General features: G+C 39.4%; 1 long non-coding RNA gene across 1 annotated transcript; it reads right to left on the bottom strand.

The window, feature by feature from the left end:
- Positions 1 to 7,342: 7,342 nt before the first annotated feature.
- LOC124901962 (uncharacterized) lies at positions 7,343 to 20,142 on the bottom strand. Its single transcript, XR_007060963.1, has 2 exons — positions 15,081 to 20,142; positions 7,343 to 12,929 (listed from the first exon to the last, which is right to left on the bottom strand). It is a non-coding gene; the product is annotated as an uncharacterized LOC124901962 (long non-coding RNA).
- Positions 20,143 to 21,960: the final 1,818 nt, after the last annotated feature.

Raw genomic sequence — 21,960 nt, 5'->3', positions numbered from 1 at the left:
TTCTTTATCATTCCCGTACACCCTGATTCCCAAAACCTCTTTGCTTTCACCTGGACTGACCCTGACACCCTCCAGTCACAACAACTCACATGAACTGTCATCCCTCAGAGCTTCAGGGATAGCTCTTATTTCTTCGGAGACCTCACCTCCTTATTACCTGTCTCCCAGTTGTCTCCTTCAATACGTGGACAACCTTCTTCTTTGCAGCCCCTTTCTAAAAGACTCTCAAACTCACACAGCTGCTCTCTTAAACTTCCTCGCTACCAAATGATATGGGGTCTCCTCGTCCAAGGCCCAATTCCCCACCTCCATGGTGTCCTACTTAGGAATTCAACTTTCCCCTGGGGCCCAGGCTATGACCCCAGCCCCAGCAGCATTAATAGATAATCTACCCCCGCCCTCCTCCAAAAGCAAAATCCTTTCCTTCCTAGGCCTAGCAGGCTTCTTTAGAATATGGATTCCCAACTTTGCCCTCCTATCTTGCCCCCTCTAGGAAGTGGCCAAAGGCCCCCTCAATGAACCCTAAATCCTTCACATAATATACTCCCCAGCTTCCACAAACTCCAAACTGCTCTTTTCACTGCGACAGCTCTGTCCTTACCTGATATCTCCCAACCTTTCACTCTCTATACTGCCGAAAGCCAAGGAATAGCCCTCGGTGTCTTAGGACAACAGAAAGGAAATCCTCCTTCTTTTGCCCCTGTAGCTTATCTCTCTAAACAACTAGATAACACAGTCAAAGGGTGGCCAACCTGCCTTAAAGCACTAGCAGCGGTGGCCATTTTAGCTCTAGAAAACAGGAAACTAACTTTCAGCCAGAATAATCTACAAGATCTCCTCTCCTCCTGAGCATTAGCCTAATGAGGAATTGATCTGAGTTGGGATTGGCTTGCAGTTTTACTTAGTTTCAGTTTGTCACTCATATCAAATGTTGTGAAGGTGGTTTTGGGCTTCACCCTTAGCAGGACTTTATAAACATCGTGGAAAAAAGAGACCTCTGCTTTCTGTTCAACCTCATGTCCAGGCACCACCTGGAAAGTGATGCAGGGAGAATTCCAAGAGAGAATTGTTGGATGAGAGGGTTAGCTTTGAGTCTGGGCTCCCTTTAGCTTGAATTTCACCACTCAACTCCTACATGACCATTGAAAATGTGATTTGTTTCCCTTTGTCCTTTCTAAATCCTGTCTGGGACAGGCTTCTCTTTTGGCTGCCCCTCCACCAGCCTTGATAATTTCCCTCAGTGATGGAAGCAGCCACCCTCCTGTGCTGGCCTAGGAATGAGTTGCCTCTCTCTGGAATTATATTACTTCTGAAACTCTTAAATAGTTCAAAAAATAGATTTTTTCAAAAAGCTTATCTAGTATTTTCTCATTGTTATGATAGGAGCAATAATCTTTTTCGAGCTTCTATATCCTAAATGGAAGAGTAACCAATAAATTCTTAAGGATATTATTAGAATCAATAAACTTGCTAATAGATAGAAAAATAAAATATTCAACATGATAAGATTTCAGAACTTTTCTACCTAATATTTAAGGTGAAATAAGTTATAGTATGGCATTTTCCCCCCAAGCAATAAGAGACATGACTTACTGACTTTTACACTATGTTGTTTGGTATATTGTTCTCTAATACCCGAATTAATTTTTTATATTTTTTACTTTGACACATCAAAGAGAAATACGAGCTCAAATATAACATTCTTAATATTATCTTAGACTTACTTTGGTAGGTGAAGAAAAAAATAAAGGAAGAAAGATAAATAGGGAAGGAAAGGGAAAAAAGGAGGAGAAACAGAAAATAAAATTTATCTGAATACAAAATACTTCTAAATTTCTTCACTTTAGGAACATAATTCTTTAAGTAATGCAAATTGTCAGAATAAATTATCATATGAGATTATAAGAATTCTGGCAGAAATTGTGAAAGAAAATATGGCCAATTCATTGTGAAAATGTTAACTAGATACCTGTTATTGCAACTAACGGATGGCTAGACCTTCAAGTTTCCTTATTAAATATATTTGCAGGGAAAAAAATAGGTCACAGCAAAACAACAAAGGGTCCTAAGCTGGCTGAAGAAAATTACTATAAACCTAATCTAGAATGATGTATTAATCATCCCTTTTCCAGCCTGGGCAACATAGGGAGACCCCATCCCTACAAATAACACCAATTAAAAAAAAAGATAACTGGGTGTGGTGATGTGTACCTGTAGTCACAGCTACTTGGGAGGCTGAGGTGGGGGGATCACTGGAGCGCAGGAGTTTGAGGCTGCAGTGAGCTGTGATTGCTCTACTGCACTCTAGCCTGGATGACAGAGTGAGACTCTGTATCAACAAAAAGAAAGGAGAAGAAAAAGGAAGGAGGGAAGGAAGGAAGGAAGGAAAAGAGAAATCAAACCTTTTTATTTTCTCTATTTCTGGTGCTTTGTCATCTGGGGCCTTGCTAAACCTGGAGAGACTGACCCTCTTAGGGCAGCCACTTCCTAGAGATATTAAACTGCTCATCCTTGGAAGTGTGCCTTTCATATGTAAACCAACCAGTCCAGAACCTACACACCCTTCACCTCCTGTGTCGGGCTCTTACACTGAGGACTAATATTTCCTGCCCCAATCACTGCAGGGCCAGGTACCCTGACAGCTCAGGACAGCTCCTACAGCTCACAGCTCACTGAAATTGATCAAACCAAACAATTTCTAAACCTGCTTACCCTGCCTCACCCATTCCTTCCCATGGAAACCATGATAGAGGCTGTTGTTCACATTCCCCACCCTCTCTTCCCTCTGTCTCCTCACCAAACCTGGTGCTTTCCTGCCTGGCATAGCATGATCTACCTTTTGGGAACTGTGACTGACAAACTACTTTTCAATGGCAATCATCTCTGATATATTGGTCTCACCATATCTGAATAATAATGAAATTTACATTAAACATGGCTTCATTCTTTATTCCTTTTCTTCTCAAGAAACATAAGAAAGGCTAGAGCCATCAACAAATGATTATTACACTAAAAAAATAAGAAAAATATGACTGCTTTTGGATACCTATCATGTGTACTGTCTTAGCTGTCTTCTTAACAGATCCTCATAGAATTTTTAAAACAGCACTCTGAGTTAGGTATATTATTATCCCTATTTTACAGACAAGTAAACTGAGGTTCAGGGAGGTTTCTCACATGGTAAGTGGAGCAGTCAGAATTAGCAGGACCATATGATACCAAAGCCATTGTTCTATAACTGAACCATACAAATCAACCAAAAAACATTGATCTGAAAGATCAGAAGCAGAGAGATTTTATAGAGCTGAATGCTAGGTGTCTGTGATAAATTTTAAAATGAATAGTTACAGATATAGATGGAACTATCATTTGGAATTGAATCTGTGCTTTATACTTCTGGAATATGTAAATGTCTTTTTATAAAGACACATAAATTAGGCAAGTGGACAGGGTGAATAATCTGGAATCAAAAAGAATGGATGTTAATGCAGACTTGACTTTAGGAACCACCTTGAAAAGGAATTTCTGGGGGACACAAACATTTGGGGACACAGGCTCTTCCAAGCACAAACCATTCTGTAAAAAAATAATGTTCTTTGGCTACCAGACTCATTCTTAGAATAAGGCCTATAAGCTTTAGATACAAAGCTTAGGTAATTGACAAAAGTTAACAACTGTAGAATATTACAAATTTTCAGCACCATTGTATGTTTAATATATATGTTGTGATTTATTTTACATATGCTGTTTTAAAGGATTTGTATTATTTTTACATGGAGTGCTCCAGGCCTTCATTGCCTGGGTATTCCTCCCCTAGAACCTAGTCCTGCCCTTGGTTGCCCAGCAGTGCAGGTAGAAGGCAGGACCACAGTCTGGTGGCTCTGTAAGATTACAGAGCCAGCTCACCAGGATGGTCTGAGGCAACAGGAGATGCAGCCAACTCATGCTGCTGCCTCTACTGGGACACTCTACTGAACTTTTGTCCTTTGATCAGCCAGATAAACATGACTGTACCCTGAGAACCTGTAGTTTTTGTGGAAATTCTGCTTCCCCATATCAATTGCTATCCCTTTCTACTCTAGTGGGATGAAATTGGTCTATAATCCTAAAGTGTGTCTCTGTATAAAGGACTACAGAAAATAAATATGCTTTATTTTAAAATTAGTTTTTCATTGAAGCAGTACAGGTAAGTCAACTCATTACTTTGGGTGTTAGAATTCTTTCACGAGGGCTTTACACTTGGTAGTTTCTTGGGCTTCTTCTATTCTAAAGCCTCCACATTTGCATATTTCAATTCAGGATGCCATAACACTTATCACTGTTCACAGCTCAAGATTTAACTGTTGTTTCTTTTTTTCCTCCTTTCCCTTCCTATGTCTAGACACATCTACTATGGAATCAAACAATATTAGGAGTGTTAATTGGGTTTTCTCAAATTGTCAAGACATAATCTGTGATGTATGTTCTTGGCTGTTTACATTTTCCAGGAAATTTCAATTGGCACCATGTTAATATCATTGTTAATCACAGGTTATTATATTATTTCTATTTTAAATTACCCATGTTTACTATTCCTTGTCTTCTTATGTAAAGAAAATTTGCTGTGAGGAGAGACAGAGGATTTAGAAGTTAGTTTGGTGGCAAACATCCAGTAGCTCCAGAAATTGGTGGAAACATTTGTTTTCCAAAATGAAAAGTAAGAATCGCTTTAATTTCTGTAAGAGAGCTATAATTTTGGTAAAGGTCAATAGTACTATAAATGCTCTAATATTTTAGATAACTATATTCTTATTTTTAACAAAGTTATACATGTACATATTTTAAACAACCAGATAGTTCTGTAAGACTTTAAAAAAATTCTTGTTGATTAAAAAAAAATCTCTTAAAATATTTAAAGAGGTTTATTCTGAGCCAATATGAGTGACCATGGCTCTCAAGAGGTCCTGAGAAAGTGTGCCTGAGGCAATTGGGTTAGTTTGGTTTTATACCTCTTAGGGAGACATGAATGTAGATAAAATCATAAATTAACACATAGAAGGTATGCATATATTGGTTCAGGATTAGAGGTGGGATATCTTCAAGGGGGATGGTTACAGGTTATAGATGGATTCAAAGATTTTCTGACTGGCAATTGGTTGAAAGAGTTAAGATTTGTCTAAAGATTGAAGTCAGTAGAAATGCTTGAGTGAAGATAAAGGAGGTTGTGGAGGCCAAGGTTCTTGTTATGCAGAGAAAGCCTCATTGGTTAACAGTCTTCAGAGAGGATAGATCGTAAATGTCTCTTCTCAGACATTAAAAGTGTCAGCCTCTCATTTAAACTCTCTTAGGTCTCAAGAGACATAAGAAAGCCTAGAGCCATCAACAAATGATTATTACACTAAAAAAATAAGAAAAAGGTGACTGAAAAAAGTGACTTAAAAAGTGCATATGAAAAAGGCCTAGAAAGGGAAGGCCTGGTTGCATTAATTGAGATTCTCTACAGATGCAAATTTCCCCCACAAAAGACAGCTTTGCAGGAGTCATTTCAAAATATGTCAAAGAAATATATGTTGGGGTAAAATATTTTTGTCTTTGGGGTTCTGTTATTGAAGCAGCCTTGTTGTCGGGAGTAACACCTGAGGTTTGTTGTTGCATGGCCATGGAGAACAAGGACATGAACACACAAAGAATGAGGTTGAAAGTATAATAGGTGAAAGAAAGAGAATAGTTCCCTGCTGCAGAGAGGGGGTCCTGGAAAAATGAATTGCCGAATCTGCGGTGAAATGCAGGGGGTTTTATAGATGAGCTAGTGGTGATGTGGTGTCTGATTTACATAGGGCGTGAAAAACTGGTTAAACCAGTTGTGTCATTTGCATAGGGTACAAATCTCTGGTAGCCCCCACCCTAATCTTTTATTATGCAGGTGGGTTTTTTGCCTGAGCTGCACCATACTGCCCATTTCTTTATTACTGTACATGTGGTAACAAAAAAAAAGGGAAGATGGAGCCTCCATGTTGGACATCCCTGGCCCCCAGGTAGCCTTTTTCTGTTGGTGCAGCTGCTGGCATTTCCCTGTGCAAACTTCCAGCTTGCTCTTCTAGGTTTGCAGCTCAATTTTTCAGGCTGATTTTGTTAGAAAACAAATGATTTTGGGGGCTGCTTTTTGTTAGGAAAGAATTCTTCAGAGGACTCTTTCGCCCTCACTATCTGCCCAAATAATTGTTTTCTACCTCCTGTATCACTATGTTGTCATGTGATGCTATATCAGAGTCAGATTGGAATTTGGTATCTTATTGCCATGGAATCTGTTTAGTCAGTCTTAGGATCTCTGCTTTAATGTTAATGCTGGGCATTTGTGCCTAAACTAAAAAAGGGAGAGGCTGTAGTGAGGCCTGTCCAATCTCCCTTCCTGTTTATGGCTGGGAATTCAGTTTTTCAGGTTTCTCTGTGACCTGCAGTTTGACCTGTGGACTTAGGGTTTTATATGTTGGTATGCTTCTGGGGTGTTGCATCCCTCCTTCCCTGATTCTTTCCTTTGAGTGGGCTGCCTTGCATGTGCAGTGGCCTACCAGCACCTGGGAGTAGCCGCATGCGCAGTGTGTTTACTGGACTTGTACACATGCTCACTTGAGGTGTTCTTCCCTTACTAGTTGAATGTTCATAGAGAAGGGTCACATTTCAGTTAAACTCCACCATTTTGCCTCTTAGTGCAAATGCATGAGCCCATTTGCCCAACCTGAGATCTCATCGGGAAGCTGCTGATCACCAACTTGAGCTGTTTTCTATCTATTGGAAGACTGCCTTTCCCTGGTGCTGGCTGTGACCAGTTATTATTTTAGAGAGATAGTTTATAGTTTAATGACCAACTGACCATCACCTATCTGACGGTTGCCTGACATTCCTGGGTGGGTGGGGGAGACCTCCCCTGCCCTGCTCATGCCTGATTAGCTACCTACTGTAACACCAATAGGTAGTTTTTCAACCCTTTTACCCCTCCCTTGTCCATCAAGTAGTCCCCAAGGGGAACCTTAAATAATTGTCAGAAGTCTCAAAGCACGTTGACCAACAAGATAAATGACCTATTTTCTTAGTACTAGGATCCACTTTTCTAGTTTTAAAAAATTTTGATAAGATACACGTACAATTTTATCAACTATTTTTAAGTGTACAGTAGCGTTAAGTAAATTCACATTTTCATGCAACCAATCTCCAGAACTCTTTTCATCTTGCAAAACTGAAATTCCATTCCCTTTAAACGGGAATTATCCAACCTCCTCTTCCTTTCCAAACTACCCCAATTTTACTCTCTGTCTCTATGAATTTGACTACTCTTCATACCTTATGTAAGTGAAATCATACAGCATTTCTTTTCACCATTGATTTATTTCACTTAGCATAATGTCTTCAAATTTCACCTGTGTTGTAGCATGTGTCAGAATCCTTTTCCTTTCTAAGGTTGAGTAATAGTTCATTGTATGTATATACAGTACATTTTGTTTATGCATTCATCTGTTGATGAAAACTTGAGTTGCTTCCATCTTTTGGCTACTTTGAACAATGCTGCTATGAACATGGGTGTATAATATAATTCTTTTAAATTAGTTCTACCTTTGCTCAGACCCTTTCTCAACAGTCTCCAAATTTCTTCCAGTAGGTGTTCTGTTGAAGTTTTCTTTCTTCTTCCTTCTCTCTTACCAATTTCTCCAGAGCACTTTGCTGCACTCATAATCTCAAGGAGGAAAACCATATCCACGAGGGCTCAGTGGTCATCAGGGTTAGCTAAACCTTCAAGGCATATATACTCACAGTAAACTAGGGCTCTCAAGATTAATGGATTTGGTGCATTAGGTAAACTACCATTGTTAGTGATGGCAAATCGGTACAGGCCTGCAGCAACCTCAATTCTTGCCTCCTCAGACAGAGGGGCGTAAAAGGCAGAGTGAGAGATTAAGGCAAGTTTTACAGCAGGAGTGAAAGTTTATTAAAAAGCTTTAGAGGAGGAATGAAAGGAAGTAAAGAACACTTGGAAGAGGGCAAAGTGAATGACTTGAGAGATTCAAGTGCATTGTTTGACCTTTGAACTGGGGTTTTAGACATTGTCATGCTTCTAGGGTCTTGCATTCCTTCTCCTCTAATTCTTCCCTTGGGGTGGGCTGTCTGCATGCACAGTGGACTGTCAGCACTTGGGAGGACCCACATGCACAATTGAGTCCTTTTTCTCTTACCAGTCAAGTGCTTAAACCACCATTTTGCCTCTTAGTGTGGATGCTTGAGCCCATTGGCCCGACTCCTGAGATCTTACTGGGAAGCTTATGATCACCAGCTTCAGGTTTTATCTCTCTATTGAAACACTGACTTGTCCTGGCGCCAGCTGCAACCAATTATTATCTTAGAGAGACAGCTTAACAGCTGTCTGATCATCACCTGATGGTCACCTGACATTCGTGGTTGGGCAAGGGGTGGCCCTCTCTCCTGCCCTCCTCATGTCTTACTAGCCACCTACTGTAACAATATGATTTCAGCTATTTTATGGATGCTATAGTTTTCTGTGATGTAATCTAGAAATTTAACCACAGTTTGTATCAAATTTATGTGGGAATATACTGAATAAACTTTCAGGATGTAATGAGTATACTCATCTATATGTTAGGAATGCCACCTCTAGGTAATCTGTAAATCACAGATACTTGAAATAAAACTTCAGAAATACTTTTAGCTATATTGTAAAAAAAAATATGGGCATAAAGTTGTGTGCTGCCTACAATATTCAAGTCCATAGACATATTTAAGCAACTACAATATTTTAGGTACTGAATATAAGAGTGGCTGCCTATTAATATAAGCTTTAAATATTCTGCCATCTATCTGTATAATGAAACTGTGAGGTGAACATGATCACCCCAATTCCCCTTATGGGGAAGTTGAGGCTTACAGAGTTAACATAACCTACCACATGGTCTGTATGAAAATAACCTATACAGATGGTTCACGTGAGAATCAAATTTGTATAATTCTCATGTGGGTACTTTTACTACCATAATATATAATCAGAATGTACCAGAAAGTCTAGAATATCCTAGCTGAACAGAGGAGAGAAGTCTCGGCATTACAGAATGGACGGGAAGCCCCTCCATGAAATTTTGCATTTAACTTTTGACTTTCATGTAACTAATACTCCAAAAATATGTATTTCAAAAGCAATCTTAAACTGTACGTTTACAAATGTACACACGTTAAGGTCACCATCGCATATGTAGCATACGTTCATTTTCCAAGGGCAGTAGAACACTTTCCTGGTCTGCTTAATATTATAACATACTGTCCCTCAGTCACTTATTATGACAATATGACCCTCCTACACAATTAATAGCAAACTATATGAACATGAAAGACAACTGAACGTCACAACAAAGTATTCCATTTAGATTTTGTAAAGATCATTAGTCATAATCTTTTAAAAGTAATTCTACTTCCTTTATTATAATATTCTTAAACTCCATGTTCTAAAAATACAGTCGTAACTTCTTCACAAGAGGAAAGTGCTTTTACTCTCAATGCTTTTAAATATAACATAATTTATGAGACTGAAAGTATAGATGAAGTATTATCCAGATTTTGATAAAAATTGTATCTGAGAAAAGCTGAAATTGAGATTTCTGTAAATAGCTGGATATAAAATCAAGGTTTACTAAGAGAAGAATGTTTCTAATGAGCTTAATTTCAGGAACTCAGTTTAGAGCTGATTCCCTTGTTACTGGTGCCACTCCTGGAAGAAAACAGTGTGAAAATGATCTGAATCCAAGGAAGAAAAGGGAATGCTCTTGGAAAGCTAATGGGTTTTAAAAGCCTCATCATATTCATCTAGTGAGAACCTGACAAACAACATTAAGCATCGGAAAGCTGAAAAGTGCTCTCTGCGAGCTCAATTTTCCTATTATTAAGCTTCTCACAGTAAACTGAGGTTTCTTATTCAGAAAAGTGCTGAGGAAAACCTCAACCCTATTGAGTAGTAATAACGTAGAAACTCGGAGAAAACAACAAAAAAGTAGCAACGGTAATTGGAAGGGGGTGCATCAGTGAAATAGAAAAGTGGTCATCCGACAAGAGTGCAACAACAATAATAATGGCTGGAGAAGAGATTTTTCTAGTTGGTTGAGACTAGGATGAGATCCCCCTAAATTATTTCACTAATCCCAATTAACAGTCCCAGTTGTGCAATTGTGAGCTGCTACTGGTATAACATTTCATCATTTAAAGCAAATCAATTCTTCCAAGAAACCAGAAGAAAAAGTCCGTTCACCATATGTTAAATTATATTCAGATGCTTGAGAAGAAATAATATTTACTTTTATAAAAACCACTCTCAGTAAGTATTCCATCCTGACTTAAGGTAAGGACATTCCTCATCCAGGTGAATTCCAATAACTTGTAGTTTAAGCCAGCCAGAGCACATAAGTCTCTGGATGGAATGGGCGGTCTTAGTACAGACCCAGCTTCCTGCCCTGTGTTCTTGTATACCCATTCCAGGATTTTCTCATGATGACTCCCAGGGTACCTTCTAGGCCTGGCTCCCCTAATTCGCTTGGGTTGGTGATTCCTTGAAATCACAAACCCAAAGACATCAACTTAGCTTTCTTGTTTTCTCAAAGCCTTTTGAGGCAATTTAACTTCAGAGGCCTGGGTCTCTCCTTTACACATAGACCTTTTACGTGTGAGAATGGCTCTGAAGGGAACTCTAAAACTTAGTCTATTTGAAATGACTTACGGTAGGCCCTTTTTAACTGTAGACCTCCTGTTTAATGAGGACACACATAGAATGCCCACCCATATTATCACCTTAGGCCAGCACCAAAAGGCCCTTCAATCATATGGAAATAAAATATAGTTCCCACCTACAAAGGAAAGAATTAACATCCACCCCCCCAATTCAACCAGGAGACATAATCTTACTGAAAACTTGGAAACAAGAATCCCCTGATGATCAATTACAACTGACATGGAAGGGCCCATATCACACATCGTTGCATATTTGCACTGCTGTTAAACTAAAGGGGTAACTAATTTGGTACACCTATCCAGGATAAAACCTGTTTCTTATGAGTTGCAGGAACAAAAAGGAGGGCATCACGACCTACATTGTGAACCTTTGAAGACCTCTGTTACCTGTTTAAAAGAATCAACACTCAGCCAGAAGTGATAACCATGATGCTGTGGGTGGGAATGGGAGCATTAATTTTTCTTTTTCCTTATTGCAATACTTACTTTCTATTGTGTTAGTCAACTGCCCCCTCCAAGGAAACACCTCTTTTGCCTTTGTTGGGTATAGAGGCTACTCTAAGGCCCAACCAGACACCAAGCTGTCACTGTTAATCTTGCTTGCTCTGCCAATTACCTTGATCTAGTATGGGTGGGAACAAACCCTATAGTAAATATTTCAAAACTTATAGCATCAGAGAGTCATCTTCATGGTGTCAGATTTGTCATCAACATCCGCAAGATAGAAGGTTCCACCTTCAGGCCTATCCAGGGAATCTCACAGCCATCTCCCTAGACTTCCTAACTAACCACAATAATCCCAAAGTACTCAGACCCCTATTGACTTGGGTCAATATTGTATAAGGATTAGGAACTACTAGGTAGACTGTGACTACTGTCTCATTAACTGCTCTCAGATCCTTAACAAATCTATATTCTACATTTGGTTTCTTTACAGATAAAATGGAGGTGTTACATGGAGACTGACAGAATTGTGATAATTCATACTTAGGAACTTCATTATCAAGGGCTGGTTGTCCTTCTGAGCCTCAGGTCTCAAAGGATACTATATCTTCCATGGGTAATTAACACTGGGTTTTAAAATAACCTGGCCTGGGGGTACATTAACAGCTCTACCAGGGACTTCCATGTCTCAGACAGAGGGGTCTACCTAAGAAGCAATTTTCCATGGAAGGGAGCTCTTCTTCTTGTCTGTGTTAAGGCTAGTACTTACAGCTAGGAGTAGTGTCTAGTCCTGGCCTACTGCCTTTTCATGAGTCAGACCAAATTGAACTATGGCCTGTAATGGGGAAAGTAAGTCTCTCTGCAGTATAGGGACAGGGCATACAGGTATAAGCAAAAACTTGTGGAAAAATGTATGGTATCCCCAAAGGACAACCAAGGGGTTGGGTAAATCTCCTCATTTTTGGCTGGCCATCAATCCCTGTTACCATACAAGAGTGGAAAGACTGCAGGCCTTAGAAATGGGTAAAAACTGAGTAGGCTGCTCTCATGTCGAATAAGAACTCAATATTTTTGCCTGCCATATAAAAACTTACCTGAGACTCCTCTGTGGAGATGGTAAGGTGTCCAGTAGTATCTGTGGAGGACGTTGGTCTCCATGGATCCTCTGCTTTCTTGGGTATTATGGGTCTGGATGGCTTAGACTTTTTTTTTTTTGTCACCCAGGCTGGATTGTGGTGGTGCAATCTTGGCTCACTGCAAACTTCACATCCTGGGTTCAAGCAATTCTCGTGCCTAAGCCTCCTGCTTAGACTCCCTTTTAAACCTGGAGCAGTCCTTCCTCCAGTGCCCCTCTACCTACCTTATAGAAGTACACTGAGTTTGGCCTAGAAGCCAGCAATTTGAGGGCTCTTGTCTGAGCATCCCAGATGCTGATCTCACCACATTTCCTCAGGGTAGGCAACCCCAAGGCAGCAGGGAGCCTAAAGCAGCCACTAAGAATTGTGCTTTTTGGCCAATTCTTTTGATTTTCACCTTTTCCTCTGCCCTGTCCCCAGGGCACTGTCTGAGATTTGGCTCAGGGGGGTTTGGGGTCCCATTGCTACCTTTTGTAGCTTCCTCCAAATGTCGTAGGCAGATTGAGTAATAAAATGCACACCCAGGAGAGCTCATCCTTCCAGGAAGTCTTGGTCTGTATTAGTATATTTCTTGAGTGCTTCAATCAAATGGCCCTGAAATAGAATGGGATGTTTACCTTTCTTCTGAGTTATTTATCTCACGTGTCATAATAAATGGACTTAACCATACACATTTTCATAACTTCTGTTAAACAAGTCAGCATGTGATTTCTGCATTTGAGATCTTGGGGACCCCTCTGATAATCTTATTGGGGATCTAGATCTGGAACTGCATCTGCTTCCACACAGTAAACGTCATGGCCTGGGTTACAAGTGGCTACTCCAGCTGCAGTTTCATGGGTAGTACCTAGAATTATTTGTGTTTCCTCTATGGTACAACAAGCACATAATAATATTTGCAGGTCATGCCAAGTTAAATCAAAAGATATGGGCAACTTAATAATCTCCTCCACAAACTTCCCTGGATCCTCTGAAAACTGACCAAATTTCCCCTTGCATAAAGCCAAACTGGACATGGAAAAAGTTGCATATACTTTTATTGTTTCTCCCTCTCTCTCAGCTACCTGCTGCAAAGGACACAGGCTTGACTTTGGGGGTTGATATGGGGCCCCACTCCTGGTAGGACTAGTTGGGCTTACTTCCTCCAGTAGTGGAGGACATTGGTCAGGGATTATAGGTTAAGGGGGAGGGGAATTTGATGATATTGGAGTATAATCCTGAGCTACACAACTGATGGTCCCCCTCAGAATTAGGGAGACTGAGGAGGCTCTAAAGGGGGCACTGCAGACCTCCTAGGAAAAGGATCTAGGAGGGAGTAATCTAGGATATCTGGTGTGGCTTCTGGGTACCTGAGAGTATCATAAGCCAGACACATTCTACAGCTAGCCCTTAGGTTAGGTTGCTCATGTAGGGCCATAAAAGTCTGCACATAAGAAACTTCTTTTCATTTTTCTTCCTTTGTACAGAACAAATCTAATTGTGCCATATCATAATGTAAAGAACTATGCCTAGGCCAGATCTGTTGGTTCGCCAATTTGTATTGAACCCATACATTGTTGCAATAAAAAATATTTTTTTCTTATTCAATTTGTCTACTTTGAATTTACTCCAATTGCCTAAAAGGCACTCCAATAATGAGTCTCTTGGGATGCTCACTGTTATCCCCAGGTCTAGTAAGAATCTTTACAGGGGGTTTCACTTAGCCTGAGTTTAATGAATGCCTAGTTACTTTTCCCTTCTAAATTTCTACTTTCTACAAAGAAGGTGTAAATATGGACAGCAAAAATGTTACAGAAGTGGATCACAAGAAGCAAAAGGGCAGTAGAATGTTGAGCCTAAATTCCAGAGTGAGGAAAGCATCTTAGGTTGGGCAGAAAGGGGTTAAAGAAATGGTGACTGTGGAAAGGAGAAAGCAAAGGGGTGAAGAGCATTTCCCAAGGGGAGATGTCAGAAGTCCCTACTTGCTGGAGGACCTACCCGGTAGCGGAGCCAACAAAAACAATGTTCGAGTGGCCACTTGTCTACTGCTGTAGGTGGTCAGCTATCAGTCCAGGGGTCCAGGAACTCTTGGTTCCTTTGACAAAGATGGGCTTGACCAAAGTCGTTGTAAGACAATACACAGGAAGGGGTCTGGAACTGGCTATTAGGAAAATAATGACCCCTAACTCCAGGTCAGAAAAGGAAAGGCCAAGATTCCCCTAGAGGAAGGGGCTGTAACTCACAATCCTAGAGGGAATGTTCATGCTGAAAATCCCAGAGCATCTAAGGCGTGGCCGACAGTACCAATGCCCAAACACCTGGAGTACCTGAGTGTCAGTCAATGAGGGTCTCCTCACCAAATGCCAACAATCCTGGGGCAGCCATGGGGTGCCAACAGTGAACCCCAGTTCAAATTGGTGTCACGAAGCAACGTGACTCTGGCATCTCAGAGTCAACACAAGAGGAGACCTCTCACAAGCAAGCATCCTGCCTTAAACAATTTCCCAAATACAGTTAACAGGAAGTCAAAAGAAACAAACAAAAAAAAAACTGCAATTAAAACACACATTTTATGACTTAAAATAGAATGACTGATAGAGCAATAAAATGGAATCAGAGAAAGGAACAAGAAAAGGGGTGACAAAGACATGCTTCAGGGCACCCAAATGACAGGAAACTTTTAACTGACTGCTTAGCTAAAGGCTTTTGTTTCCTGTCTCACCCAATATTATTTGGGATGTGGGGGGAGATAGAGGGTATACTCACCCCTCCACAGGAGCCAAAATGACAGCAACTGATCATCCATGTGGGACGCTGGTAAAGTTCTCTTCAGGTTCCCCAGTTTGGGTGGACTCGGCTGTCGTGGTGGGAGAGGCTGCCACCAAACCGGTAACCCATCTGCCTGTGGGTCAGAGCAGTGGGTCTCCTACAAGGCAGTGGCACTACAGCCACTTTCCCATTCACTCAGCTCTGCTGCCTGCTAGGAAAAATGATAGCTCTAAAAAGAGGCTTTGGTTAATGTTATAGCTCTTGCAATGTTAACAGCTCTTTGATATTATAGCCACAGTGTTACAGCTCTTGCAGCCTCGGTCACCGACTGCTTTACCATCTCTCTCTATCACCATCTTGCTCCATCTCTCTGCTCATCGCTTCTCTAGTCATCCTCTCACCGATCACTGTCTCTTCTCCTCTCTTACCTTTGCCTTTGCCTTGCCGACTGCCAACTGCCAATTCTCTCACCATCTGTCACACCATCGTCTTCTCTCCTCAGCTCCACATTGGGCACTACTTGATGCAGAGCAGGCTTAGCCCAGGAAGCTTCTTGGCTTTGCTTAGGAAATAATTCAAGAGTGAGCTAGTAATAGAAGAAAACAGCTTTATTGAAGTGGCAGTGTTACAGCTCCATGACTGCTCCTGCAGAGCAGAGCTGCCCCACAGGCAGCATGAAGAGTAGCAGATCAGAAGTCCTGCAGTCATATTTATGCCCAATTTTTATTACATGCAAATTAAGGGATGGGCTATTCAGAAATTTCTAGAAAATAGGTTGTAACTTCCAGGTCATTGCCATAGCAAGGGACAATAACTTCTGGGTGTTGCCATGGCAGTGGTAAACTGACATGGCACTGGTGGGCATGTCTTATGGAGAAGTGCTTTTGGTGCCTCTTCTCTGTTTCAGCCAATCTTCAATATGGTCCAGAATGGAGTCCTGCCTCCTCTTCAATTTCACTGGTCCACAAATGGAGAGTAATTTAGCCCTGGGATGGACCATACCAAGAGTCATGGATAACTTATTTAGATGATGATATTTAAAACTTTTGAATTGATAATATTTAGATAAAATTTTTAATTTAGAATTGATGCTGGGATGGATTTCAACTTTCGGAATTTTGGAATGAGGTGAATGAATTTCCATATGTGATAGATATAATTTTGGTTGATCAGAGAGTGAAATGTAGTAGTTTGAATAGTGTTTCTGTTAAATTTATGTCTACTCAAAATCTCAGAATGTGATCTCATTTGGGAATAGGGTCTTTGCACATGTAATTAGTTAAGAATTTTGAGGTGAAATCATGCTGGATTTAGGATAAGCCATGAATACAATGACTAGTGTCTTTAAGAAGAGGAAAGGATGCAGAGAGACTCACAGAAGGCAATGTGAAAAATGAGGGCAAGGATTGGAGTGATACATCTACAAGCTAAGGACCACCAAGAATTGCTGGAAACTACCAGAAACTTGGAGAGAGAATGGGATAGCCTCTCCTTTAGAGCCTCTGCAGGAAACAACCATGTTGACATATTTATTTTGGTTTTATGGCCTACTGATTGGCGAAAGAATAAATTCCTATTGTTTTAAGCCACCGAGTTTATGGCAATTTGTTATGGCAGCCCTAGGAAACTAATACAGAAAGGAAGAAAAGAAAAACAAAAACAAAGAACAAGTGTCATAAATAGAAAACAGTTACAAGTAGATATAAAACATTTATAGTAGATATCAATCAAAATTGACCAATAATCACTTTAAACATGAATGGTTTAACTACATCAACTAAGACAGTGATTGTCAAAGTGGGTAAAAAAACCAACTATATGTTTTCTATTAGAAACCTACTTTAAAAGTAGAAACGCTGAGATTGGTTTAAATAAAGGGATGATGGAGAAAAATATACCATGCTAATACTAAACAGAAGAAAGCAGGAGGAGTTATATTAATTTTACATAAAGTGGAATTCAGGACAAGGAAAATTATCAAGAGTAAAGAGGGGCAGGTAACATCACAATGGTGAGAAATTAGGTGCTCTCCCATAAGATCAGGAACATGGCAAAGATTTACCTTCCCATCATCACTCCTGTTCAAGACCATACTGGAATCCTAGCTAGTATAATAAGACAGAAAAAAGGAAAAGTTATATGGATTGGTAGAGAAATAAAATAAAACTGTTCACAGATAACATGACTGTCTATACAGAAAATTCTGAGGAGCCATCAAGAACAACAAAATGCCTGGAACTAATGTGCAGTTACAACACTTTGCATGATATAGGGTTAATATACTAAAGTCAATAGCTTACCTCAATACCAGGAACGTGTAACTGGAATTTGATATTAAAAATCATTTATAATAGCACCAAAACTCACATATTCAGGTATAAATCTAATAAAATATGTATTAGATTATATGTGCAAAAATACAAAACTCTAATAAGAAGAAATCAATAAAGATCTAAATCAATGGAGATAAATTCCATATTTATGGCTTGGAAGACCCAATATAAGTGTCAATTTTCCCAATTGATTTATAGATTAAATGCAATCAAAATCCAGCATGCATGCAACTTTGTAGATACTGACAAACTGATTTTAAAGTTTATATGGAGAGACCAAAGGATTAGAATAGCCAACACAATACTGAAGAGTAAAAAAAACTGAAGGCTTTCTATATCAAAGTATCAAAACTTAATATAGTGGGATGTCCAATCATATAACTGGCTATGAATTGTAAATAAAGGGAATAAACACTGTAAATATTTTTGACACATTTTTCAACAAAGAGAAGAATTATTCAAATTTTTTTTTTTTTTTTTGATTTAAGCTTCTCTGACCAGGAAAATCATCTTTTTAACTGAGAAGGTCGAGGGAAAGAAAGGCTGATATTAGGTCAAGAAATTGAAAGCAGGTTTCTAACTATTTTTTGAAAACTAAACTGAACCTGCAAGTAAGCAGGTTTCTCGGTGTTCTAACATGAGTGTATGCCTCCTTTTCCAAAATAATTCTATCCCAATGAGGGAAATCTTAATAGGAGAGAATGCCACACCACCATGGTAAGCTTAAGAAACTTTGGAAGACTGAAGAAAAACACATACTGAACTGATTTTGTTAAAAGAAATAAAGGTGATTTCTACAGCTATTTTAAAACATTCTCAGATGGATAGCCTATGGAGAGAGGCATTTTTTTTGAGACAGAGTCTCACTCTGTCAGGTTGGAGTACAGTGGCACGATCTTGGCTCCCTGCAACCTCCACCTCCTGGGTTCAAGTGATTCTTCTGCCTCAGTCTCCCGTGTAGCTGGGATTACAGGTGCCTGCCACTGCGCACAGCTAATTTTTGTATTTTTAGTAGAGACGGGGTTTCACCATGTTGACCAGGCTGGTCTCAAACTCCTGACCTCAGGTGATCTGCCTGCCTTGGCGTCCCAAAGTGCTAGGATTACAGGCGTGAGCCACCGGCCTGGCCTAATTTGTTTTCTTGGTGGATCACTCAAATGGAAGGCCAGGAGACTACTGTTGAAAGTGTATTTTTGATCGAAAGAAGCAAGCATTTGACCCAGTCTTTTGTAATATTGAAGAAATATGGTCTGGGTGCTAACATATTTTGTAGTACATATTTTTATTTCTCAAGTGCACTCAAAACTGATGTATTATGTGTACTCAGTGAAGGCATATAAATTGATTGAGGCCAAACCAAATAGAGATCTTTATCAGAGTTGTACAGAATACTGCCCTTCCAAATTATATCTGTAAGGGTTCTCAGTTGCAGACAACAGAATTCACTCAACCTAAGTTAATCGGAAAGGAATGTATTAAATAGTATTAGATACCTATGTTACCTTTTGTACTGTTGGGCACTGGATGCTACACAGTGTAAAAGAAGCTGGGGATCATATCCCCAGTTAAAGAACTTTTACTTTTAATCTCGTTCATCTACGTTTATGTTTGTTGAAGATAAAATGCATAAACATATAATTACTCTAAATTTATATGGGAACATAGTAGAATATGACTACAAATACAAAATTAATAATATTATCCACACTAAAAGTATAGTTTTCAGAATTAGGGCAATAATGATATTACTGACTTCTGCATTGAGACATCCTGTCAAACTTAACCTGTGTTACATCAAAAACCTACACTGCACAAGTGGCTTCTATGAGCACTTCTCTTCCCAGTATCTTGAATAATATCTTAGGCTTTACTAGTTAGCTTAAGAAAAGTCTGAAAGGAGTTTTTACTGGTGAAATTTGTGACTTGTGTATTGTAAATGCCATCTCATTGTTGGAAATAAAGTATTTAAAATATATGAATTGGCTAAAATATTTTAGAAATATTTCATACCCTTACATTAACAGAAGAAGAAAATCTGGCAAGGTCTTATCCTGCATTCTCAAGCATAACTGTTAAGAATTAATCTTTAAATGGTCTTGTGTCCAACCATTCATTACAAGGACTTCTGTTTTCCTAGTACTGACAGAAAATATTCTGAAATGTTGTCATGTGTACATCAGGGATGCTATTATGGATCGGTGGACAGGGAGGGATTTCATTGGGCTGAAATATAATTCTATCTCCTTTTCAGATGAGTTGAATAGAATGAGTAAATTGCTAGAGGTCCACAGCCAGGAAGTGGCAGCTGTGGTTTATACCCAGGCATTCAGACTTGGAGCCCACACGTATAATCCCTAGGCAATCCTAACTCACTGTAATGAGATTCTTTATGCTGTTGTGATTAAAAAAAAAAAGATGAGCTTAAAAACTAATTTTCTCAGAAATTATAAAGAATGAACTGCCTATAATCTCAGCACTTTGGGAGGCTAAGGCAGGTGGATCACTTGAGGTCAGGAGTTTGAAACCGGCCTGGGCAACATGGCAAGACCCCATCTCTATTAAAAAATACAAAGGAAAAGTATTGAGGAGTGTTGGTACGTGCCTATAGTCCCAGCTCCTCAGGAGCTTGAGGTGGGAGTATGGCTTGAGGCCGGGAGGTTGAGCCTGCAGTGAGCCATGATTGCGCCACTGCACTTCAGCTCGAGCAAAAGGGTGAGATCCCATCTCAAAAAAAAAAAAAAAAAAAAAAAAAAAGGAAAAGAAAAAGAAAAGAATGTGAACCAATGTCAAGATTTCTCTGCTTCCTCTCTCTCCTGGCTTCTCCTTTTTTAATAATAAAAATAATCACAGCAGGAGCAATGTGTTAATTGAATACCACTGTATACCTAACATTTACAAAGGACCTATTGGCTCAAATGAAGTTGGTTGAATAAATAAATAATCATAAATTATTTATAACAATATCACTTTATCTGTCACCTTTAATTAAATTTTTCATAATTTTTCAGGTCATAGAGTGACAGATACAAGGATAAGACACCTTACCATGGACAAACATTTGAATCGGTGACCAAGAAAATACAGACGAAATCTGTTCCAGTTTTGTAAAATATAGAAAAGTCACTCAGATCACTAAAAGAATTCAGATAAATACAAGCAAATTGAAGTTTGTTTTAGAACATGCTTGACCTGGAAGTGAAGTAGGAACTAGGAAGATAGTGGGAGCTGGAGTCTACTGAGAGAACAAAGTCTCCAGCAATCTCCTGGACCACGCAATAGGTTCTCAAACTGTGTCCTGCTTCTCTTGGCAGTAGCTCCATTCCCTAGTACTCTCTCAACACTAACTAGTATCATACTTTGCTCTGTGTTTCTTTTCTCCACCTCAGTGTATGAAGTGTGTTCTTTGTAAAGTTGTACCTTTCCATTACAACCCTGGAGGGGCTGATGTGGTACATTGAAAGATGTTTGGAAAAGGGCTTTAGACCCTTGATACTTGCTTCAACCAGAGTAATTTTGTGTTTGCCTTTTGTGCATACATACTGAGATTCTGAGTGAACTTTATTTGAAAGATGTTTGGTACCGCCAGAAAAAAAAAATGTTTGAAAACCTTTGAGCACTCTCTGCTTTTCAAAGTTTCTGTTTTCTTTTGTTTTTCGATAGCCTGACATGGCTAAATCAAACCCCTCACCCATTGATATGGCCTCTTAGATTTCATTTCAGGATTTGACTCTGAATATATTTTGCTTCCACATCAACTGCTCAATACTTTATGCTCTTGGTAATTTTATAAATTCACATTTTGTAAGAAGTAATATGATGGACATAGTCAATTTTTTTCACCTTTCAGCATATGATTTCATTGCCCTTAAATTCTTTTCTCCAGACCAAAAAGCTGTAATTGCAGAGGTCACATACAGGGCAAACCTTGGCTGTGCTGAAAGTGCCCAAGATGTGGCAGATGTCCTGATATGTGTGTTGTGTGGAATTGTGGTTTCTTTATTTTTTTTTTTTTTGTCTTTATTTTTTTTTTTTTCTGAGACAGAGTCTCCCTCTGTTGCCCAGGCTGGAGTGCAATGGTGCAATCATGGCTCATGGCAAAGCCCGCCTCCTGGGTACAAGCAATTCTCCTGCCTCAGCCTCCCAAGTAGCTGGGATTACAGGCATTTGTCACCATGCCCAGCTAATTTTTTGTATTTTAATAGACACGGGATTTCACCATGTTGGCCAGGCTGGTCTCAAACTCCTGACCTCAGGTGATTCACCTGCCTTGTCCTCCCAAAATGCTCTCAGCTGCAATTTTTCTTTCTAAAGCTGAGTCATAACTTTAATAAATGACTCAACGTATTTGACAACTATTTTGTCCTACTGCATTACACTATACTTTTGGGAAAAAGGCAAAACTATGTACACCAAAAATTATTTAGCAAAGTTAAAATAGTAGCATTCCAGAAACGTTGGAAGGGGAAAGACTTTTTATTCTGATAATTTATAGATACATTCAAATGTGTATGACTAAAAGCTGTGTTTCATTATTTACGGGAAGT

This window comes from Homo sapiens, chromosome 8 (genome assembly GCF_000001405.40).
Source record: "Homo sapiens chromosome 8, GRCh38.p14 Primary Assembly".
In the NCBI taxonomy this organism is placed as follows: domain Eukaryota; kingdom Metazoa; phylum Chordata; class Mammalia; order Primates; family Hominidae; genus Homo; species Homo sapiens.
The sequence above is the reverse complement of the archived record's forward strand: the minus strand, read 5'-3'. Positions and strand labels throughout refer to the sequence as shown.